The following is a 25,572-nucleotide window of genomic DNA, read 5'->3' on the forward strand; positions in this document are numbered from 1 at the left end:
ACAGGGTGGTTCTAAATGTCAACTTACTTCGTGAGAGAAAGTTCTCGTTTTCTTTGGCACCTTGCTGAAGCTAATTGGGTTTCTTTGTGTTTTGAGCGATGTTATGTGACTTTTTTTTTTTTGCTGAAGACTCACTATGAGTTCTGCTATGCTCTTTTTTTTTTTTTTTTTTTTCAAAAAGAAGGCACAGGTGTTAACGAAATTCATCTGGGAAGTGTTTTTCTAGTCTTCGGGGACAAATATGTTTTCATGTGGGCTATGTAATTTCTTGACTGCTAAATAAAGTCTGGGAGCCTCAGCATGATTTTTGCTGTTCTAGGAAAAATATTGTGTTCATTTCAGAAAAATAGAATCTATAGTGATTAAAGTACCATTATTTCTTTAGAACTACGTATTATAATATAATCTTTTGGGGCAGTTGAAAAACATAAATATGAGTATTCACTTTTTTCTTATTACGATTAGAAAGTTATCTAAATAATCACTCAAAAAACCCAATGTAATTAATTTGATGAGTTATAAATTCATAAAATCATGCCATACTTTACCCCCTCCCAAAGTACTACCGATGTAAAAGTAATCATTATGGATGTGTTCATTTTTCTACAGGGGATTTAATTTTTAAATTGCTCTTAAACACAAGAAAGTGATTCATAACCCTAGGGCATTAGTGGCTTCCTTACAGACGATACCATCTTGGATTTATTCACAGGAAGTAATCCTCTCGAGTGGCTCAAATGATTATTTTTATAGTTTTCCTTAAGAAATTCTCCCAGAATTCTTGGGAGATAGAAGTAGGGAAACTATTATCATTTTGCTGATAGGGAAGTCAAGGCTTAGAGATGTGTTCAAGGTCAAATAGAAAGTCATTGGCAGTGTCAGGAACTTGAATTTTAGCACCCTCACTTGTATTTCAGCTCTGCCTTATAGATCTTAATAACTTTCTGTACCTTTGGTTCTTTATCAGTTTAAGAGTTTTGCATTTTGGAGCCCTAGGAAAAATGGTAAAATCTAGAATGCTTATAAAATAATACATTCTAAAACGAATTCACGATTATTTCTTTTCATCACTGCCTTTCAATATGAAGCAGTCTTAGGTCTGAATTCTATATCCCCTTTAGTGGTAACCACTTCATACAAGTTGCTTAGACTTCAATATGGGTTTCTAGAGTGTATTTTTTGGGCATAAGAATACCCTAGTGGATATATATATCTGTGTCCTCAATGAATGAGGTACCAAAGTAAATTATCTCCTAAGTTTCATGTGGCTGTAAAAATATTTAGTTAGTTTCTTTTCTCAGCTAACTTAAAAATTCATGCAAACTGAATTTATGCAAATCCGTGTTTGTGGTTTGGCTGTGGTCAGCCTCAGGAAACAGAAATGCTGTATAACTGCCACATAGAATATAGTTTAAACCTGAGGTTTTACGGAGCGACGCAACATGCACGGTGCCATCTCCAGTGATGCTTAACGGTGCATCCGGGATATGAAAAGATGACACTGCAAATTCCCACAAACATCATGCAGAATTCACGGTAAGTCAGTACGTATATGTCTAATCATAGTAATGTACATGATTTTTTTTTGCAATCCCTTCTTTTCCTCTTTAATTTGATAACTTGCATCTTAAAAGATGAGTAAGGTTTGAATGGTCACTGCATGAGCCAGTGAAAATCCTGGAAAAAAATTGCCTAAGGATCACCTTGATTCAATATAAGGAAACCACTAAAATGACATTTATAAAACTATGTAGCAATGTGGAAAAATGAGCGTAACATAATGTTACATAAAGAAGCAGGTACAAAATTGAATGCACACCGACTGCGACTATAAAAAAATTAAAATTATCTTGCAATTATGCAAAAGTGAGAGTATGCAAAATGAAGAGTTCTCAGGACCATGGGTGATACTTTCTCTCTTGTCCAAAATTTCTGGAGAAAGGTTTCATATATACATCATAAGCATAATGTAGCTGGGGAGAAGGGCCCCAAGGGTGATTGCCAGTAGTCTAGCATTAACAGGTAAGGCTCAGGGAGGAAGGCTGGGGCGCTGCTTTTGGGAGGATCACAGAAGGAATCACAAGGAGCTGGGAGGGGCAGAGTCATGTCAGGTGAAAGTCTAAAGGGGTGGCTAAATATCAGCTCTCAGACCACTTCTGTAGATGGGCATGCAGTGACACTGGACATGTGCCAACAACTTGGGATAAACTAGCTCTACTAAACAGATCAGCAGGAACTTCAGCCTGAGAAGAAAGGTCAGCTCCTGTAGGGCAGCTGGTGGAGTGACATTTTCAGAGCACAGAAATATACTCCCATAACAGAAAGCTGCTCAACAAATACTGAAGTGACAGGCTTTCTGGTTTTGTGCCAGGTGTAGAATTTTTCAAATGTGGTGGGTACAGAGGTAATTCTAATGCAAAGTAAGGATTTAATTTATCATACGTAGCACCTCAGACACAAGCACTTGAAACATATGTAGCAACCTCAATGCAATACATGGTTGTTATTGGTTATATTACAGGGCCATCTGGTCACCTGGTCCTGGCCATTCAGTATTGTGTACTGCCCCAGTGGCCTCAGAATGGGCACGTATTTAAGGATTAGGCATCTGCTCTTTTTTGCAGCTTTGCTTTTGATTATGCATGTTTATGGCTATGTAGCCACACATTCTCCTTTTCTCTATTTCTTCTCTCTCTCCCTCTCACACACATACACACACACATGCACACATATATACATACACACTCTCAAGAATACTTTTTTTTGGGAAGGAAAAAATATATTTTCCAGTTTCCCCATCTTAATGTATTTATGCTCTTCTTTATCATATATGGCATATCTTTCCTTTAAAAATAGGAAGGCTTTTTCAGATTTTACCATCTTATGTTATTTCCTAACAGTCAAAATTGCAAGAAATTTCCTTAATAAGTGAGGGAGGTATGATGAAAGGAAGTTTTTAAACGTGAACTCACTTGACCCAGCACTGCCATGTACTGCCGCACAGGCTGTGTAGAGAGCATAGCCTTCTGGGGTTGTGCAACACAGCAGCCCTGTGTAAAATTCCCTTTGCCCCATTGTGTATTGTAAAATGGGTATGATAGTAACCTACATGGTGAAGTTGTTGGGAGGATTAAATGAGTAATATACAAAAAGTCTTTGGAACAGAGTGTAGCACATACTAAATGCTGTGTAAGTGTGTCTTGTTATCATTAGTCTTTTAATAAACGTGGTGTAAGACCAGAAGAGCTTAAGACAAATATCGGGTTAACAAGTTTCACCTCTTGGTCTCCCTCATTTATGCTTTCTTTTTGTTACAATTTGTTTTACAGGACTGATTACTGAGTAGGTTCGCTTTAATGACGAGGCAGGAAAGGAATATTTGCAAGGTTAGGGACATTCAGATAAAGGATTTAAGATACTTAACTTGTCTTTATTCTTTTTTGTAGGCCTAGAAAATCAAAATAAAAAATTAATGTCTTTATCAAAGTATAAATGATCCTTTCCTGACACCAAAAATTGGAATAACATAAACCAATGCTTCCTAGGAGCCACAGTGTGTACAGGATTCTTCTGCAGGGCTTGTTAAAACAGATTCCTGAGGCTGAGGCAGGAGAATGGCGTGAACCCTAGAGGCGGAGCTTACAGTGAGCCGAGATCGCGCTGCTGCATTCCAGCCTGGACGACAGAGCGAGACTCCATCTCAAAAAACAAAACAAAACAAACAAAAACAAAACCGAAAAAAAAAAAATAAAAAAAACCAGATTCCTGGGCCCCACCTCCAGAGTCTGAAGCTCAGAGTATAAATTTCTAGCAAGCGCCAGGTGATGCTGATGCTGTGGTCCATGAACCAACCACTCTTTGAGTAGACAGGTTCTAAAAAACATCTTTGGTAATTGTTCCCAAAGCCCACGTCTCCTCCTGGGAACACGTGGAGCACTGGAAAACCTTGTAACTTTTTCTGGACTATGATTAGGGAAGGAGGAAATAACGCACATCTTAGTTCTTAGAGTTCTGAGGCTCCCAAATGCTCCTGGGAGCCCTTGGTTCCAACTACTGCAGCACGGGCACTGTAACTGTCTGTTGACTGTAAGTCCAACCATACCGGCTTCTTAAAGGCCGTGACTATGGTTATGTTATCTCTGTGTTCCAGCACCTAGCAAACACCTACCAAAAAATTAGGCTGTAAATAAGTTTGTGTAAAATAAGTAAAATAGATTAAATCATTTCCATCAAAATAATGTATTTTTTCTTTTTTTTGAGATGGGAAATAATGTATTTTTTTCAAAAGCAGCATTCTATCTTCCTCCTGAAGTTATTTCATAATAAAGAAAATGAAAAATTATATTTTTTCATATAGCTTCTCTCAGGATCAGTATCAAAAAAATATGATTCCCTATTTAGTTCTCTCACCCCGAACACTGAGGCTAAATGTCACCAGCATTCCCTGACCTGGCTCTGCTGTTTCTCCACTGTTCCTTCTCACTCACCACATGGGAAGAACCACTGTGGCAGCAGAGCAGAATAAGGACAAATTATTTTTTAGAACTATAGCAGGTATTACTGTACTCAGTGTAACTATGTGTTTTCCTCCAAAACTATGCCTAGAATATATATAGCAAAATTGTTTACATAATAAATTTCTCCAAGTAATAGAGTCTCAGATTTTTCTGTTTCTCCATTTTCTGCCTCTTCTTTTCAAGAGCAGGCTTTATGTTTTGCTTATTTTTTTTCTCATTTCTCCCTTATATTTGTAAAGCTGAAGAAGTCTGTCCATCTACAGAACCTAGGGGGACTTGCTCTTTCCCTCTTTGTTCTCTTACCATTTGGATTCTCCAAGGGGCCAGCCTTGGTCAGAACTATGAGGAGGTCTCCTTCCTTGCAATCTATATCCTCTACTTCTAGCAGATATGCCAAAATATTTGTGATATATGTTATATTCTTACACATAGGCAGAAGGAAGAGCAAGAGCAAAGTGTGAAGGGAGGAAGAACATCAAACACTCGATGCTTCAAGGTGTTCAGTATGAATGGGGCATGAAGTTGAGGGGGCATTAGATAAGCACAATGAGGTAGTTAGGGGCTGGATGACAATGGACAGCCTGCAAGCCCAGTGGAGGAGTTTGCATTTTATTTGGGAGACAGTGGGAAACATTAGTTCTCACTATGTATTGGGTGCTCACCAGTAAGCTAAGCAGTGTTGGGGTCCATGGGGTATTGCTACTGTTGTTCATAAAAGTCCTGATCCAAGGGTATGATTTTAACTCAAGTTCCTTGGAGTCTGGATGCAAAATTAAAATGGCTCATTCATCTAGACAAAAACAAGTTGCTTCCTTTTTTAAAAAATGCAAAGTTTACAAGGTTTTACATTTTTAGCTTAAAAATTTAACAATATCTAACCTGTTTATGAGCTCAATATGTTTTATCTTGTAGTAAATGATTTGATTAATGAAATCCATCAACTTATGCAACATAGCTCATTTTTTTCAGGGACTACTCCAATAGTTCATAAAATTTCATGTGTCAATTTTGGGGACACATTTAAAGTTTAAAGAGAGAAGCTGAGAATGCAGGGAAGTGATAACTGAACAACCCTTGACTGGAAGAAAACAACTTCTATGCTTAGTGTTTTTCTACAACAAAATTAGTTAATTATTCACAAATTATACAAATGAGATAATTTTGTTAGAAAACAAAGTGATGAATGAATGTTTTTTCTATTCAGAACATCCAGCACAAAGCCTGGATGGTACATTCTCTCACCATTTCCATTTCTTTAATAAGTTACTTATTCATATATTTCAAGAATGAGATCATTTGGCCAAAAAATACGATGAGGAATAAATAACAATTGTATTGAATGATCACTTGTGTATGTGTATGTGTGTGTGTGTGTGTGTGTGTGTGTGTTTCCTAGATCACAAGACAGGAAGGAAGTGGTACCCATTTCAACTGGGGGTAAACCATGTGAAAAATTAAACCAAAAATGGAAATGACAGAATTCTAGAGTTGTTTTGGAGAAAAGGAAGAAAGCAATGGAGCATAAAAAAAAAAACAGGTTTGCAAGAACTGCATTTCTGTCAAACCTTATATATGCAGTGTCAGAATAAGAGACACGTTCCAGAGGCAGGGATCAGAGAGTGGTGCTGAGCAGAGAAGAAAAGACATGCACTGTAAAGTCTGGATGGAGAGAAGTAAAAGCGCAACCACAGAATGACAAGGTCGGGGCAATGGCAGAGCGTGGGCATCTCAGTCCAAAGTCGAAGAGAAAAAGGGAACTTTACTCTGTAAACTCTCCCTGTTGTTTAAATATGAAAATAAGAAAAATATTTTGTATGGTCTTCCTGATCCTTTGTCATTTTTATTATAAGTGATAAAATTGAATTTATAACATAAATCATTGAGGGACAAATATTTCCACTCACAACTGGTTTTCAAAGCCCTTCTGACAATAGACGCTGATTCAATCAGTAATCACCGAGTTCACCTGCATGGTTCATTAGACAAAAGCACTGGCAGCTGACTTCAAAACGGATGGGCCTGAAAGCTGAACTGTCGATACGGTTCACAATCACCATGGCCAGTTGAGGGGGAGATGATAAACTGAACCAGGTGGAGAGGCCCTGAGAGATGAGCTGTAGAAAAACCATCTGTGTCAACAGGGAGGAAACACTTTGTTAATCCCAGAGTAGTTTAGGAGATTTCAAAGTTTACTTTAAAAATCTTTAATATCTATACCCTGATGGATACTGGGAAGATGTCACAAAGTTTGTGAGAACCATTTTATGAAGAGTTAGGAGGTATCTAATATAAACATCTTTTTATAAAAATCTATCAGACAAATAGACTTTTAGCTGTGCACTTGAAATACACACTTTTCTCAAATGACTATTCTGGTTTGATTACTATGCTTATCTTACCAACATGGGACATTTGGAAGAAAGGAGAGGAAGTATCATAATTTAGAAAGGCAGTTACAGGAGTGGCTGAATGAACTCAAGACTAGAGGCTGCAGATCCCAAGTTCAAATATTGCCTGTGATGTGAAGTAACCTGGTGAACCCAGTCAAGTTACCTTTTTACTCCAAGACTTGCTTAACTTATTTTGATTATAACAAGTAATATGATTAAGCTTCTTAGAACAATATCTTTTCATCAAAGTTTATCTATACACCTAAGTTGTTCCTTAAGTGCTATCACCATAATCATACACACTCCTTCCCCTATTAAGGTGACTAGAAATGGGTTCCATGGGATGGAATTTTTAATTTTTTAATCCACTGGATTAGATTATCTTCTGAAATTCCTTCCAGATCTAATATTTACAGTTCTTATTTTGATCAGATGAACCTACTTAAAAATCAACAGCAAAAATAAATAAGTACGGCAACACTCCTTCCACAATAAAAGGCTGAATAGGTTTCTTTTCAATTTCTCTACCAAATGGCTGAGTCTAATTTTAAGTACTACTGTCTCTGACTGTTACTTTCATATATAACATCATTTTTACACTCAACCTGTCAGCTCATGTCATTTCAATTATGCATTTGTTTTCTCACTGACTAAACATTGTGCCAGCACTTCTCCCTATTAGATTAAAAAGAAAGAAAACATGGGCTATTTGAAAATGACTTAACAGCAATACATTTTTCCAGCTTGAAAGTCTAGTATTTTTCTTTTATGCTGCATGTAATGAACATAGGCTGAATATTAATATCTTAAAGTAAAGATACCTGATAGCATTTCAGATATTTGTTGAACTTGAGATGGTGACTCATGATGTCTCTCTTGGTGATTACAGTTTTTAACTGAGCCCTGTGAGTTAGTTGCATTACTGCTTGGAAAACTGGGGAAGATGGACTGGTAGAGGAGAGCTAGGTGTGTGCTTGTTACTCAACAATGCTAGAACCTTGTTTACTCACAGAGATGGCTAGGCTGGCAAGAGCAGAAGACAGTAAACACAGTCCTGCATAGGTAGAAACATCAGCAATGCCTCCTGCTCATAAATAACTGCCCTACTCATTTTATCAAATGGGGATTTTTTACATTTTAAATTGGCCAGTTTTCTTTGGAAGTACTTCAATTTCCCAAGGAACATAAGGCCAGCGTCAATGATAACTTAATGTCCATTAATTTAATCAGATCAACAACTAGGTTAGGTTAATTTTCAATGGGGAAAGTGTAAAATGGGAGAGAAACAGAGGAGAGCACATAGGACTCTTCCTGGATCTTAGAGACTCATGAATATAGCAAGTCATAAACTGGACCCCATGGGTTGTATACACAGACTATTTTGTCTGATTATATACTGTTTAAAATTTTAAAAAAGATTATAAACATGTAAAAAAGCAGAGATTAATGCCTTTTTTGAAAAATTCCTATGTGTGGTGACACTGAGCCCATTTCCAACAAGGTGGCAATCCGCTGAAGCTGATACGTGCTGCCACCTCTACTGGGGCCAGCTCCCACCAAGTAGCCACTGACTCCCTCACTCCCTATGTTTCTTATGCACAGTCTACTAACCTCATTTCTGGACCTGGATGATTGGAAAAGGCATTTGCATCCATGACCCCAGACTAGACTTTATTGTTTAAAATAATTATAATTCAATGTCCCCAAATTCCAAGGACATCTTTTTTTTTTAACTCTTAATTTAGGTTCAGGGGTACATGTACAGGTTTGTTATATGGGTAAATTGCATGTCACGGGGATATGCTGTGCAGATTATTTCATTATCCATTAATTCATTATTTCATTATTCCTGTGAATAAACTTAATAATCAGGTAATAAACATATTACCTGATAGGCAGTTTTTTGGTCCTCACCCTTCTCCCACCCTCCACCTTCAAGCAGGCCCTGGCGTCTGTTGTTCCCATCTTAATGTCCATATGTAATTGATGTTTAGCTCCCACTTGTAAATGAGAACACGTGGTATTTCCTTTTCTGTTTCCTGGTTAGTTTGCTTAGGAAAATAACCTCCAGTTCCATCCACGTTGCTGCAAAGGACATGATCTTGTAAAAACCCGGGAAGATAACCTAGGAAATACTATTCTGGACATAGGATTGGGCAAAGAATTCATGACGAAGATGCCAAAAGCGATTGCAACAAAAACAAAAGTTGACAAATGGGACCTAATTAAACTAAAGAGCTTCTGCACAGCAAAAGAAACTGTCAACAGATTAAGCAGACAAGCCATAGAATGCAAGAAGATGCTTGCAAACTATGCATCTCACGAAGGTCTAATACCCAGAATCTTTAAGGCACTTAAACAAATTCACAAGCAAAAACCAAACTACTCCATTAAAAAGTGGGAAAAGGACATGAATAGACACTTTTTAAAAGAAGACATACACACAGTCAACAAGCATATGAAAAAATGCTCAACATCACTAATCACTAGAGAAATGCATACCCAAACCACAATGAGATAACAAGGGGATCTTACAGCTATTTAGTCTAACTATCTACCAACTACCACCATGCTTTCACCTCAGTACCTGCCATTTATAAAGCACTTACCGCACGCTACGTACTTTGCTAGGCATTTATATACAAGAACTTATTTCTTTCTCCCAAAAACTTTATGAAGTAGATATTTTCCTCATTTTATAGCAGAGCAGCCTGTGGCTCACAGAGCTGGTTAATTTTCCCAAACAGTTATGACATGGCCATAGCCTGTTTTCACTCAGATTTGTGACTGTAAAGACCTTGCTCTTAACCACTGTGTAAGAGTGATACACACACATTCTGTGTTATATTCACAATGCTAACCACATGGCATGGCAGAAGAGCTGGCACCGCTGAAAATGTGCTAGACTAGAGTATCTGACACTGTTCCACAGAAGGCATGCCGAATGTCTAATAGTAAACCAGTGGAAATAACCAAAGTGAAAATGTCATGATACCACAACCATCTCCAACTCACCATTCAGGAGGCACGAGTTACAGAGGAAAAAGTCCCAAAACAAAGGAGTGGTGGCCCTGGATTCTAGACTTGGGACTGACCAAAGGAGGCCAAGCTGGACACATGGCTCTACAAGGGAGCATCCTCATTTGAGCCTCACAGCAGGCATCTGAGCAGATGCTATTATTGCATTGTACAGATGAAAAAATGTAAACTCAGAGAACTTAAACTGCTTACTCCAAAGTCTTCTGCTTAGTAAGCGGCAGGGCCAGACTAGGAACCAGGGCAATGGATTCTTTCCTCAGCTATCTTACCTGCCTCTGTGCCGCTCTATGACACGTGACTCTCTGTATTTTCTGGCTTTATACCACCAGACTTTAACAATCGGTCGTAAGATTCTAAAATGAAGGATATTAGATTTGCCCTTTGTGTTTTTCCTAGAGTCCAGTGATGCTTAGGAGAATCAGTACATTAAATTGAAATGCATGAAGCTAAACAAACCAAAAAATAAACTCAGCATCGTGAGTTTACAAGGAAAATACAAAGTAAGATAATTTGCATTACTGTTATTTTGCCCTCCAAATTATCAGTAACTCAGAATTATTTTTATATTACTTGATACAAATAGAGAATATTTAGGAATAAAACACAGGGTGATTATGCTTTCACTCTAGTAACTTTTCTATTTAACCTAATGGAAGAAATTTCCCCCTTCTGTGTACAATATTTATTGATGATAAATAGTTTGCAGACAAGATGGGATTGATTGGACTGCAACAGTGAATCTTTGTTTACTCCAATGCTGATTTCAGATAGATAGCAAATTTGAATAGTCTCTCTCATTCCAAATAAATCTGGCTTCTTTTCATTCAATTATTTTTCATCGATCAATCTTTCCTGAGGAAAACACTAATGAGCCTATGTCTGCTGTGAGTGTAATTAAGGCAACTACAACTGCATAATGTGCTGTGTCCTTCGAATGTCTCAGAGTTTCATGCTTCAGAATCTGCAGGCTGAGCAGGTGGTCTCCTTTCTGCAACTCTAGAGGAGGTTTCTGTTCTTCTGACCAAATACAGAGTTCTAAGAAGGTACCCAGGGACAGTGTTACACCTAATACCAAGAGACAGGGTATCATACTTTGTAAGTGTCCTCAGGGGTAAATGGGATCTGAATTACATTTAAATTAAGTCACCACATTGATATGACCAAGAAAGCATTGGCCAGATGGGGCTGGTGACCACAACAACGACAAGGCAGGAACACATATTACCCTCATCCTTTTTACTATTTGTGAGTCTGAGACCAAAGTTAGTTGCTTAGATGTTGGTAGGACTATCTATTAGCACCAGATAAGCTGGGTATCTTCTCCGTTAATCTGTTTTTCTTGTTCTTCCATTTTAATTTCATGTTGGCCTATATTTTCCTCTTGAGGATCCATTTTCACAACAACCACTAGGACAGAATTGCAATCCAACTTGAATGCTTATGAGCTATTGGAGACACAAGGGTGAGGTTATAATTTATCTCTTCTTTTTCTTTAGAAAAAGATCACAGAAGTTCTAGTGTCCGTTGCTTTCTGCTCAGGCTTCCTTTACAAGGTGAAAATGAGACTCTCAAAAAGGCTGTAAGCTAAGATGAGTATGTGTTGTCTCTTCCCAGGGCCCCTTCTCATGCCTGGTAGACGTTCTCCTTGAGGAGGTTGTGAGAGGAAAGGCAAGCGGTCTTCATAACTACTTTTAGCTCTAGTTTTATTTACATTTGCTTTAAGGGGCATTTATCTCCTGACAAAGCCATAGGGCTCAAGAGGGAAGTAAACAGTTAAGGAGTGTTTGTAGGGAAGTTTATTCCTGTGAGGGTTCAATAAATAAATGTTGACCAATTACGATAATTCCTAGTAGATGGTTATTTTATACAATTAGAGCACTGAGGCAAAACAGCTTCTTAATCCATTCATAGCATGATCAGTAATGAGCAATGGTACAGAGCTATGTGAGGTGACAGAAAGAGCATGGGACTGGATGGCAGGAGGGAGAGCTGGCTTCTAGGGCTCTTCTGCACCTAATCAGGGAGTTGGGCAACTTAATTCACTTTTCTGGATCTCAAAGTTCTCATTTGCTAAACTGGGGATGAAGGGAGGTGGAGAGTGAAGTGGTGATGCCTAGCTAATTAAAATGACATAAATGTTATACACTTTATAGAGCACTTTTACATATTTTAACTCAGAGAAACTCTAGGAGGTGGGAAAAGCACAGTATCATTTTACAAATAATATCAGAAAACTTATTTGAAAATGAGAAAACTGAGCTTAGAGAGGTTCAAGATTACCAGATTTCCATGTGGATTTAGCCAGACTGCAAACCTGGTTCTTTAAAGGTACCTTTGGTTGTAAATGGCTGTGGTTTTCTTGTTTTCTGGTCTTGTTATTACGTTAAATGCTGATGAATTCCAGTTTTTAGATCCCTGGGTAAATGCCAGGTTGAAGAATGTTAAATTTATCACAAGTTACATATTTTTTCCTCCTTTAAAACTGCATTAGTTGTTTTCTCTGACCCGGTGATTCATAAAGTGTGGTCTGGAACCAGCAGCAGTAGCTGAATACTTAGAAATGCAAATTGTCAGGCTGCACGCATCTCAGACCTGAAGAATAAGAAACCCCGGGGGTGGGATCCAGTAATCTATGTTATATCAAGCCCTCCTGGGGATGCTGAAACAGCTAAAGCTTGAGAACTATTGCTCTGACCTGGATATACTTGTTCCCCTTGTAACTGGCTGAAATTTGACATTTCCCAACCTGCTTGCACTAAAGGCTATGAAACTGCAACTTTGAGTCCTATAACCCAATAAATCCACAACATGCTGTTAAACCCATTTTTACAATACATGAACCTGTAACTGTATCCATCATATAATCAAAATAGTCTATAAATTTATTAGTCTTTGTTACCTCTTTTAAGTCTACTTGGAATTTGAAAACATTTTAAAAAATTGTTATCTAGGTCCAGCTTATCATAAACCTTGAGTTAAGTTGGCTCTAACTAAAAATAGTAATTTATAATAGAATGAATTCACTAAAAGTGGTTAATGTTTTTAATCCCTTAAGTCAAGGCACTTGACTATCTACTCCCACACTTGAAATATCAGTAACTCCAGAAGGAAATTAATGTGTACATGAAACCTAAACAAGACCCTCCTTTCCTCCATTTAGGAAGGAATAGCTTCACAAATAATAAAAATATGCCATAATAGATGTTTAAAATTTATCTTTTAATATTTATTTTACAAAGACAAATATAGCATTTACTAATTAGTTATATTATTTTTATGTCAAATGTTTGGGTTTTGGAGGCATTAAGATTTTAATCCAATACATTCCCTTTGATTACCTTCTACGCTTAAAGTTTGAAAACCTTGGAGATTTCTGGTGGAAAATATGGACTCTGACCCCAGTGTGATACATTTCTATTTAAATGACTGTGTGTGTGTGTGTGTGTGTGTGTCTGTGTGTGTCTGTGTGTCTGTGTATCATATGGCACCTATTACCATAAGACATCAACACTCATTTAAGTGTTCTCTGAAATGTTTTTATACATATCCCAAATAAATTTTGTCAATACAATTTCACAAAGAGAGAAACACAACATTGTCTTTAAAGAATAGAACCTTACACATTTCCGAAATACACTTTTTTTTCCATGTTGAAATAACACAGAAATCATCTTTTACCTCCTTGAGAGAAGGCAGCCAGGGAGAACAAAATCCACATACATGGTGCTGCTTCTGTTATTAATTTGCTTATATAAGCAAGACTGTAGGCTTTCCGTGGAAGTACAAGATTTGCAAATCACATGACTGATAAAATGGCATATAGCATACACAGCATTTGTAGAGTGACAGCTTCTGAATGACAGATTTAAAGAAATTAGGAGACTTCTGCCCATTGCAGCATTCCAATTATTTTATTTATCCTCTTTAGATTTTCTTTTGGCACCACTTACTGAAAAATCTACTTGCAGTTACATGAAGATTAACTATAACATATTTCTACCATGTTTTTGAAAAGATATAGGAAGAATAAACTGAAAATAAAGATTCCTGACAAAATGGCATATAATGCTATAGAGTTTTAATTTTATTATACATATAAAATACATATATATGTATAATGTCATCATATATGTATAACTCATATCTACGAGATGAGGCAATATTCATTTTCTGGAAAACAAATGTACATATACATACACACATGCTTAATTTGTTGACCTCTTAAACTTTGGGATAATTTCTTATAGCTTTATAAAGACCAATTACAGTGTTTCCCCAAATATTTTACTTTGAGATATCAACATTGTCGTTGTTTCAACCTAGGATTTGCTCACAACATCAACACCAAATAAATCTTTCAAAAAAAGGAAGGACTACTCTTTCTGCCAACAGCAAACACCAAAGCCAACTCATATTCATAATTACTCATCTTTTGAAACATGTTTTGACATGAATAACTCAGCAAAGCTGAGTCACTGCCAAACAGTACCAACTTGTGCAATGGCACTGGAAGAAATGTGATAACTACAGAGGCAAACAGCGACTCTGAGAAAATTGAATCCACCCTCATTTGATCCAGGTAATAAAAGTGCTATTTTCTGAAGAAGCAGGAAGGTTTTGTTCTCTTATTTTTTCTCTTTTTTCTTTAAGATTCCTTAACAATTAGTAAAATGTGTTTAGTCACAACAATAGAAATTTTGTCAAAGGTATCATGAGAAAAAAAGAACAATGGCTTCCTTTGGCTTTTCACCACAAGGATCTCAAAATATAACTTTGCAGTTTTCTGAACACCAAAACTCAGTTAAAATGCAAAGATTTAGGCAAAAAAGAAAGAAAGAAAAGAAAAGCTTTGGGGTAGGAAGATAGTAAATAAGAAGAAAAAAAGAATTTAACTTCTATATGATTAAGGAAGAAAATAACTAATTTTTCATTTTATTAGAGAAATGTACACATATCTGTATTCTCATAATATACCCAGGTGTATTTTACTAGTTCATTTGCCAGGTGGGTCCAGTCCTTTGATCAGAATCCCAGTCTATGGGTGGGATCAGACATAGACTGCATGCCCCAAGTATTTAATCTGGCATAAAGTGATAGTTAATAGCCCAGTAGATCACATGGGCTACAGTTCCACCCACCTTATTAACTAAACTGATAACTTGGCACTCCACACATCCCCTACCCTGTTTTACCCAGGAGCAGGAGAGCAATGATAAGAAAAACTCGGAAGCATTTTGAGTGAATGCTGTAAAATCAATATATTCTGCACCTCGGTAGAGAGATGTTTTGGCAAGTTTTTCCAGAAGACCACCTCAGTTACCTCAGTTATTCCAAGACTAACAAGCAAGTCTCTAAGTCAGTTATTTCTGGTTGCTACCTTCTGATGGTCATTTTTCCTTTTTTCAGAAATATGTACAACAGCTCCCTGAATGCAACTGTTATGATGCAAAACAAACTGCATGATTAGGAAATTGAGCAAATTCAGGTGCCTTTCTGTAAATTACTGACTGCTTTCTCTCTAATCTCTTAATCTACTCAGATCTCTTTGAATTATTTCTCTCTCTACAGCTTTTGCGTCGCTCTCAGATGCTGTGCCACCCAGGCATTAAATAAATGTGCAGTTATCTTGTCTCCTTGATAATTAACAGAGATGTTAAGGGCTAGTACCAATTCAGTGGCATGGGCTGGAAACCTTCCATTACCTGGTATGTCATTGTTTATGCTCTATTAAGCAGTTTTCATTTCACCTTATGGGCCCATATAACATCCAAGCTAGTGGTTTCTCAAATTACAGGTGGTACTACAGATTTTATTAAATAGCCTCTTCTTTTTGTTTTCAGAATCATCTTTATATATATTGCAGACAATCTGGAAAATTAAATTGGGCAATATATATGTCTTAAGGTTTTCAGTTTTCTCTCTTTCTCTCTCTCAATTATATCCATTGTTTTACAAGATAGAATAATGGCAGTGTTTCTCATTTTCAAGATAATATATTTTATTGTTCTTGTTTATCTTTTTCCCAGATTATCATTGGTGTTTTGACTCATTTTATCAAGAGATGCCTTTAATTTTCCAAAAGTTCTTTTGTTCTAGCTTTATTTCCATCATTCTTACATACAAAATATGCATGTTGGCATCATGCAAAAGTCAGTGGATCAGAGGCATCATATGGAGCGGCTTAGCTGCTCTCAAAATCTTGTTATGCAGGCTTTAGTCAGACAGGCTAATACAGCTGCCAGAGAAGGGCTGAACACTCAAAAGGCTTTAGTCATCAAAATATACAGTAGAACAGTAGAAAATGTACGTAAGTATTCACTTACCTGCTTTTGATCAACAATTATTTCGAGGTCTTCATCACTGCTTAGTTTTCCATATCCTTGTTCTTTACTTTTCTTGTGAAAGAATAATTTTAAATGATCATTTAGTTTCTATCCATTAACAATCTTAATTCTACTTAATATTTTTAAAGATAAAAGTCTTAGCCTTGTTCACCAGTCATAATGCATCATTCTTTATATAAATTGCTCATGTACAACAGCAAATGTTTTTATTGTTAAACTGCTGTCTTATAATTATTCATTAACAATATCTGCTTAGCCTCCACTACCCAACTTATACCTTTAATCTTTTTCTCAATATTCTTATGCTTCTCTTTTTAGTTCTATAGTATCAGAAAAGATTCTTTAACACTTTGGGATAAATAAGCAATTCTTTGAAGAGCCTTAGCACATTTTTCTTAAAGATTGAAAGTTCATTTAGCTTTATACTCAAGACTTCCAACTATTCAATGTTTTGTTTTAATGTCTTACATATTTTTAAGAATAATAGAAGTATTATGCAACTCAGATAATGAATCTTCAGATTTTCAACATTTGCTCACAAGTCAGATGAATACTGACATTGGAAAAACCAACTCAGAAATAATTTTAAAGAGATAACTAAAATAATTTACAAAATTAGGTATTCGAAAAGTTGGAGGACAGACTATTTTAAGAGTTTATGTAAATGCACTTTTTTTTTTTTGGCATTTTGTCATCATTTATTTTGTCCCAATGACCACTCTCCATCTATTTCCTCCATTGCAAAATCTATAAATTCTAAAGTTAGAAAAGGACATAGATAATGATAATCATTTTACACTTGTGCTACAGCAGAAAGATAATATGTCTGAGCCTTTTTTTCTCCCAACGCAACGGTTGATGAGAATACTAGAAATGTCATGTTGTGTCTTCATACCAGCAACAAATGAAAAATAAAAACCACTACATAGTTAGCTGTAGTTCAAGGTTATTTATTTATTTTAAAGATTCTTGCTTTAGTTATTAACTACATCAACTTGAATTAAGGGAATTAAAAATACTTATGTTTGCATCTACTGTGTCATATTAGGGTCCTCATCTCATTCAGGGAAGAGATATATCCTTCAGTGAACATGATATAAATCTTCACACTGTGAGCACAATTCTTATTTTTTCCCCATAACATTCAAAAACCAGATTTACACATTTTTTTCCCGCAAAAACATATCTCCAATTTTTGTGGGTTTTTTTTTTACTGTAATAAAGAGATTTCTGCATCTTCCAAGTATTAGGATGCATAAATAAAACACAAATTCTCATTTATATATTAATGAACTTAGCCACTCAGAACAGAACAGATGGCCACAGCATTTCTCCCTATTATTATTCTTGTCCTCATTTGAGGTTCCATTTCAAGATTGATGGAAAACAAAAAGAACAAGGTTGGTTTCAGTCAAGCTGACTTCCTTCCTATCATTTTGCTTTTGTATTCTTTTTGTTCACTGGTTGCCATAAGATTTTGTCTAGAGTGTCTCTAATGTAAAACACTTAGAAGTGCCTTTCCAAATATTGATCTGTATACGTACCAAGTAGCTCATTTGCATGACCCGGTTTCTGGACAAAAGGGCATTAAGTAGAGATGGAATGTGGGTCCTTCCATCCATTTCACTGTCAGACATCCCAGAATTCTTTATGCCACTGGCAGTGGCTTCCTTGCCAGAACTTGCTGACCAGAGAACCACAGATCTTGCCCAGGAACAGCATTAATAATGTACAACAATAATTGAAGTATTCCTGAATCATTGTCTTGACTTTGTAAACATTGTGAAATTTTTGGCTAGCACAAAAAACTCACTGAAATGAAAATTTCTTTTTCTAACTAATTTTTATCCATGCACTTCTATGCTCTTTGACTGTTGTTCCCATTTAATGTTTTAAAAAATCTACCTATTTTAAATTATATAATTTTTGTATTTACTTCTCTGCATATGGACTCTTCAGCCTCCTCATCATAAAAGCTCTTGATTTCCCCTTTTTAATCTCCTATTCTAAACTTTCTTGACAATCACTGCTAACAGATAGAATGTCAGCACTCACAGAACATCATTCGAAACTGCAACTTCTACAAATACCAAAGTCCGCCTCTCCAATCTCAACTCCTTATCTAATTTAGTAGTAAATTTTCCTGGGAAGAGGCTAGTTCAGGGAAGGAAATTATGTCCCCCAACCAATCTAAATAGAAGCTGGCATTTTCCAAGAGTGGGAGGAGGCATTTAGAGCTCTGGTTTTGTACTTAAACCTCTAGTCTCCAAACAGCACACAACAGTACACAAAGCTGGAGCCTTACAGTTTTACTCTAGAATTAAGCAATATTTTCTAGTTCACCCCATAACCCCGGGGGGATTAATCCTTTTCTAAGCCATAATGGTATTCACTCACTTACTGCTTATTTCTAGTGCGAGCATAATCCTCTTTCAAGCACTCAGCTTCCCACTTTGCTTAGCTCAGCCAGCCCAGGCAGGGATCTTCAGCTCTCCTCCCTCCTCCCAGCCGGGAATCCCTGTCTTCTATCTATGCACTTTTGTCAAGCACAAAAAGCAAGTCCACAGCTTCTGCGTGGTCTTTCACAGTAGCCAAAGGACTGAACTAGAAGGAAAAAGAAAGCTAATCTCTCCACCTTCCAAGTGTGAGGGGGCAGGGCTTCTGTGGGAGGAGAAGCCACAGGGCAATCACTTCCTGTGCTCCTCCCACCTTCAGTGGCAAGACACTGGAGCTGAGGATTTCCACTGAGGCAGTAAGGTTAGGCCCCTGTCTCCCTGGCCTTAGCATGCTGCCCATTTATGGACGACTTTGTGCACTGTTCCCCTAGGTGCAGCCGAGGAGGGAGCATTAGTGCAGTGGAGCTAAAATGGTGAGGTCCTAAGGCGGGAAAGGGGAGGAAAGAGCGAAAGGACATAGTCTTTCTTTGCTGACAGTGCTTCACCCCCATAAGAAGCTTTCAGCTCAGGATAACGTGTCCAACTTCTGAAACCCCAAACACAGTATCTCCTATCTTTCCACACCATTCTGAATCCTTTCTGACCTGCAAGAGACGTATCTTTGTTAGTTCTTTGTTAATGCTGATAACTTTTTTGATACTATTGCATTAGATGGGTAACTTTCTTAAGAACATTGAGCCTAACTGGTAATCTTGCCTCTCTACAGACTTCCACCATCTCTCCTTAACCCTACCTCCTGTTTCCTACCCCTTTGTCCTCTCCTCCACAAAAGTAAAACAGAAAGGTGAGTTTATTTTAATTAAATAAACTTGCATTAAACTTGGAAAATCTATAGAAAAATATAGGCCAGGTATGGTAGCTTAAGCCTGTAATCCCAGCACTTTGGGAGGCCTAGGCAGGAGGATCACTTGAGGCCAGGAGTCCAAGACTAGCCTGGGCAACATAGCAAAACCTCATCTCTATAAAAAATTAGCTGGACGTAGTGGCGTGCACCTGTAGACCTAGCTACTCAGGAGGCTGAGGTGGGAGGATCGCTTGAGTGCAAGAGTTTGAGGCTGCAGTAAGCCATGAATGCACTATTGCACTCCAGCCTGGGTGACAGAGTGAGACCCTGTCTCTAAAATAAAGAAAAATTAAAAAAAGAAAAACAATATAATGGCCACAGATATGGGATGTATCATATAGGAACATTTTGCAAGTAAGTAACACAACAATGAAATCTGATGGGCTAGAGATCTGAAAAATGAAGTAACTCCTGTTCATTGCAGGATATGAATTTCTTAAAAGTAAGGGTTTTAATTGAAAAATACTAGTTGTGTATGAATTGAATTAAAAGGACTCTTCATACTCATTAGGAATGGAATATATAAAGAACATTTTGAAAGGGAAAAGGAACACTTGATTTGGCTAATTGTACAAATTAGCCCTAACTGCAATTTTTGCCTAACTACAGATGTCAAAATAAATATAAAGGTTTGCATGTAAATAATTCAAATTTTTAAAAATCAATGCTGCTATGAATGATACATAGTAGACATGAATTTATTAAAGCACATGTCACATATACAATATAAAATATAGCTACAAGAAGAAAAGACCTTCTTACTGTTTTCTTCATGGTTGTCAGGATTCAGTTCCTATCCTCTTTTTCACCTATCTTCAGCCTTTTCTCTACCACTTTCCTTCCCACAGCTGCAAAATTGCTCAGATTTTCCCTGTCCTAAAAGGTGATTTCCTCATATCTGCTTTTCCTTGAAGACTTTGATCTAATCTCTCTTTTGAGTGTCAATGAGGAGAAGGGTTGAAAAAGAAGAAAATGTGCTGAAAAGATACTTGCTGAGTTTGTGGTGTCTTTGGAAAGTTCATCCCAGTGGAAAGATCCAGTCACCCATTTGGATGTAGGTGTCTGTATCTAAGAAGAGAGATAAGGGCAGTGCATATAGATCACTAGGGTTAATTGAAATTGCAGGAGTGGATAAGCTCACCAAAGAAGAAAACACAGAGAAGGAAGAGATGAGGACTACGGCCAGAGTCCTAGAGAACAGTTGCATTTAAGTAATGGGCAAAAGGAAAGAACTCAGTAAATGATGAGGAAGAGGAGTGGTCACGATGCAGGTGGCGAATTAGTGGAATACAGTCAAAGGAAACAGAGTTCTGATAGTGTCAGATGCTGATGAGAGGTTACATAAGGATATGAACTAAAAACTTTCAATGTATTTGGCATTTTGGAAGTCATTAACGACTTCAGGAACAGAAGTGGTGAAGATGGAAGCCAGGTTAGAGTAAATTATTGAATACATTGGTGGTGAGCGTAGGAAGATAGTGAGAAAAGACTTGTCTTCCCTTAGGAAATCTTTCTTTTCTTTTTTTTTGGAGGGGTGTGGGGGGAAGGAGTCTCGCTCTGTCGCCCAGGCTGGAGTTCCGTGATGTGATTTCGGCTCACTGCAACTTCCGCCTCCTGGGTTCAAGCGATTCTCCTGCCTCAACCTCCCTAGTAGCTGGGATTACAGGCACGTGCCACCACAGCTGGCTAATTTTTGTATTTTTAGTAGAGACGGGGTTTTGCCATGTTGGCCAGGATGGTCTCAAACTCCTGACATCAGGTGATCCACCCACCTCAGCCTCCCAAAGTGCTGGGATTACAGGTGTGAACCACTGCATCCAGCCAGGAAATCTTGAATGGAAATGGAAATGGAAAGCAGGAGTAAGAATGCTAGCTAAAAGATAGAAAGTATAGGGAAAGAATACTGGGAAATGTATAACTGTTTCCTCCTTCCCTTGTGTAAAGATACTGATCATGTTTATAATTCATGAAGAAGGAACTAGAAAAAAAAAGTGAAAATATAGATACCAGAGAATGAATGGGGATAATTCATGAAGCAAGAAAGTAACAGCAACGATCCTTTGGAGAGAAACTGGTTCTCTTTTAAAATTTATTAATACAATTTTGTGCTGTATATTTGTAAGAAAAAAATCTTGAAGGATGTATACCAAATACTAAAAGTCTTTTTCTCTTGGAGATGAGGTTGTGCATGATCTATGCTTTTCTTTATACTTGGGAGTGCTTTTTGAAACAATAATGAATTTTTTTATAATTAAAGAAAAGTAAACAAAATGTGATTCCTTGAGAGATCCATAACATTGCCACAGAAAATACTCATTTAAAGACTTCTTTGCAGTAAAAAAGATGGGGCCAGGACTTTACCCTTCCTTTATGATGTTCCTGGGAATGAAGGTTTTTTGTTTTGTGTTTAAACGCTCGTAGAGATACATGTTGCAGTTTTTACTTGCGACCCTTGCAGTAAGCCTGGTAAATGGTGAACTGAATGCTTTGTTTATTGCATTTAATATGCCCCTTTCCTCTTGACTCTCCCTTATAATACAAAGCTTCTCAGTTCTTTGACAATATTTTGGTTCCATGTCCTTTCTTCTTAAAAATATCCACAGTGTCAACACAGCCACAGACTCATTTCTGTGGCAGCCAAAGAGGCAATGAAGAGAGAAAACAGGAAGTAAGGAAAAAGGATAAATTTTTCCCAAAAGGCCTGGAAGTAGAGCTTGAGAGTGATCGCCTTTCAAGGACGTAAGCTCAAATAGACCTTTTGAATGGAGAGTAATTGCCTTACCAGTTAAAAATGCAATTTTCAGATGTTTAATTTTTCTTAGGTATGGGGGAGATCAATTTTCTGAAGGGAAATTATTATTTTTACAGAGAATCATTTACAGAGGGGCTGGTTAAGTCTGGCATTTTTTAAAGAACAATTTTTGTCTTGTCTTTTTAAAAGACACTCATGGGCTTTTCCCCCCTCTCTAACTGTGATCATGCTACGGTAAAAGAGAGTGGCCACACAGTACACTTTTTTATTTTTGGGTCAAGCATGGGCAAACAAAACATATGGCAATCAGACTCACTTCTGAATGTACGTTGTTGGGTGAGAAAAGAAATATAAGGACAACAAGTATGTTGTAGCATTTTAAACTGTTTTGCCATATGCATGAGCCCAGACATTTAGTAATTTTTTGGATTTTAAGGTTAAATCTAATTGGAAAATAGGTATTCCAGTTACTAACTAGCTGGATAATAAGATGGCAGGGAATCACAATACTACAGCCTGGCAGTTCCCCCTTAATGCTGGTTTTTCTACCTTTAGGGTGGCTTTTGGTCTGTACATTAATAGCCTGAAGGGTTTATGAAGCATCTTGAAAATATTTTCTATTTTCCAAGATTTCAAAAAATAAGAATGTTCCAACATAAGTATCCATTAAGATTACACAATCTTACATCATTGTCCAGTGACATTTTCTTAAATATACAAATTCAACTTTAGGTATGTACCTTTTAATATATCTTTTCTAGTATTTTATCATGAAAATTTCAAACACACTGCAAAGTTAAAATAATTTTTACAGAGAGACCCTGTGTACTCAACTACCTAGATTCTACTAACTTTTATTATACTTGCTTTTGCCCCAAATTTTTCACCCACTTGACATATTTTTAAAGTATATACACTATCACATTTCTACACATTCTTTCCTTCAAGTTTTATTTTATCTAATTTACTTTTAAAAACTCAGAAAAGTAAGACTATTGTTTCAAAAAGCTTCCAAGATCAGAGCACTAAAGTTTAGGAGTTGTTTTACTGAAAATCTTTGCTTTTATTTGGAAAGCAAATCAGTGAACTATATTCTCACCATTAAGTGTTGTATAGGTCCCATCACTAGGATTAGGAGGAACGATTTCTGATCAAAGCGTTAGGATTTTTATAGCTCTCAGTCAAAAGCTAGTGAGCAAACAACTCAGCTTTCTGGGATTAATCCATGGAATGATAGGCAGTTCAAGATGATATTAATTACCACATCCTCAAGTTTATGTCCTTTGATCATCAATGTTTCCTGCATCTATGAAAAACAGCAAACAACCTCACTATACTCTGGGCTATATAGTATGTAATCACCTCTGGTACCTGCAACGAAAGTGGCAAGTGACTTCTCAGAGGGGTTACATTTGCTTTAAGGGACAGTACTTGGCTGGCATATTGAGATCAAGTAGGCAGAAAACAAAAATTCAACTTGAAATTTCAATTATGTCAGATTCAGCAATGTTCCACATTACTTGGAGGACAATAAGTAAATTCATTTTAATCCTCTTTCACCCTCAAAACCAAATTCAAATTTTAAAAAAAAAACAAAGATAATGTTCTTCTAAACAGAAAATTGAGTCCAGTTTTTCTTTCAGCTGGCATGTTCTTGTCTCCTTCCCTATAGACTTGTCTCTAGAAGTTATAAATGTAATCATAGGATGCAGTGACCAATATGTAAAAAATTGTTTTCTGTGGGCTGAAGATAATGATGATTGAAAAATTATATATTTTAATCTGATAATCTCTCTGGCAGTCTTAAGCAGTCTGGGTGCTATTTCCAAAACAAGATGAAACTAGCAAGCACTCCTTTTTGGTGGTTTTAACCCTGTCATCCCCGACACAACAGGACTGGAATGGTTGTTGGTGGAAGATGGTGCAGAGTCTAAGAGAATTGACGTATTATCTTGGATCCCAGTGGCAAGGGAACACTTCTGTCCTACAATAATCTCTCCCATCCCCAACAGGAAAAAGGTAAATTGTGTATTCTGTTATCTCTGCAGTCTGAGAAAAATAACAAATAATCTATTTTAAGTGAAAATTTATTGCTTGATGTTCTGCTTCTGATCCCCGTTGACACATTATTTTTTATTTTTGTATGCATTGGCCCTATTAGATGGGGATGAAACCTTGTTACAGCAATCTCAAACACAGGTGTACTTATCATTGGCTTTTCCAGCGACTCCTCTTCCTTCTCACTGGCAGCCAGCACACCTGGCATCCCGCACCTGCCACTGACTTCCTTTTAACAACTGATCTGGACATCATGATTTTATGACCTTGCAAACTAAAACGCGATCTCTTTACTGTAATAAAGAAGAAAGAAAAAACCAGCTGCTTCTATAGGCATTCTGTATCCTCACTTAATTTTCCCTCGATGTTTATACCTTCTCTAGACCAGCATATTTTTTTGGAAACTCTGACACATGCTTGAGAAAAATTTGCCTATGAAATTTTGTTTCTGACAAGAATCAACCCAAAGTTTGTGCTTCGGCCATAAAATTCATGCAGAAAGTTATTTATTTTTAAGCTACATGTATGTGACTGAATGGCTTATAATCAGCATTTCTATTATGGCTCAAATGACTTTTGAGGGTTATTATTATTATTATTTAGATTTTATATGGATCTACACACAGTCATGACATCTTAGAATAAATCTTTCCTGTTCCTGAGAGTGAAAACACTTCCTGGAGGTATAACTCATTACTCTCACCCCTAGATTCCATGGCCTTGACAACTGCAGGCATCCTAAGTTAACATCACAATTCTTGTCATTTCTCGATCAGTCTCCTTATGGCTTCTTTTGCTCATCCTTTTTCTCCAATGGCTTATATATTCACTATAACAACATTATAGATAAGATGTGACAATTTCTAGAGGGTAGGCGTGCCTACCATATTCTTCATGAATATCCTTCATGAATAAAGAATTCTATACTCTTCTGAGCTACAAGATATGTAGGAACAAGAAAGATCTGGGGCCACAGACAGGTGGTTCATCCACTGGACATGTGACAATCAGTTAAGAAATTAAAACAGCAGAGTTGGCCAGGAGCGGTGGCTCACACCTGTAATCCCAGCACTTTGGGAGGCTGAGGTCAGGAGTTCAAGACCACCCTGGCCAACATGGTGAAACCCTGTCTCTACTAAAAATACAAAAATTAGCTGGGTGTAGTGGCGAGC

The 25,572-nt window shown here is 37.0% G+C and overlaps 1 protein-coding gene and 1 long non-coding RNA gene across 37 annotated transcripts in view, besides 1 other annotated feature; one reads left to right on the plus strand and one right to left on the minus strand.

Moving 5' to 3' along the window:
• Positions 1 to 25,572, minus strand: part of PEX5L (peroxisomal biogenesis factor 5 like) — a 241,980-nt gene that overhangs the window by 160,367 nt on the left and 56,041 nt on the right. For 6 of the 36 annotated variants that reach the window (NM_001349406.2, NM_001349393.2, NM_001349408.2 and 3 more), the window contains exons 1-3: positions 18,692 to 18,901; positions 17,835 to 17,994; positions 16,270 to 16,341 (exon numbers count right to left, since the gene is read on the minus strand). The exons of 9 other annotated variants lie outside the window; for them this stretch is intronic. Coding sequence is in view for 18 of the 27 variants with exons in the window: in NM_001349393.2 (NP_001336322.1) it covers positions 16,270 to 16,341; positions 17,835 to 17,927 (165 nt within the window). In the remaining 9 variants the exon portion in view is untranslated. Of the gene's footprint in view, positions 1 to 16,269; positions 16,342 to 17,834; positions 18,902 to 25,572 lie in introns of those variants that run through there. 21 more of the 36 variants (XM_024453593.2, NM_001349390.2, NM_001349391.2 and 18 more) reach the window with 5 other exon arrangements.
• On the plus strand, positions 1,414 to 24,720 carry LOC124909463 (uncharacterized). Its single transcript, XR_007096182.1, has 2 exons — positions 1,414 to 1,536; positions 24,237 to 24,720. It is a non-coding gene; the product is annotated as an uncharacterized LOC124909463 (long non-coding RNA).
• Positions 6,590 to 6,639: a silencer, noted in NCBI's record as "silent region_14924". NCBI's record gives its function as "represses an Ori minimal core promoter by ATAC-STARR-seq in GM12878 lymphoblastoid cells {active_cell/tissue: GM12878}" and the evidence as "EXISTENCE:reporter gene assay evidence [ECO:0000049][PMID:35858748]".

The sequence above is a fragment of the Homo sapiens genome, chromosome 3 (genome assembly GCF_000001405.40).
Source record: "Homo sapiens chromosome 3, GRCh38.p14 Primary Assembly".
Lineage (NCBI taxonomy): Eukaryota > Metazoa > Chordata > Mammalia > Primates > Hominidae > Homo > Homo sapiens.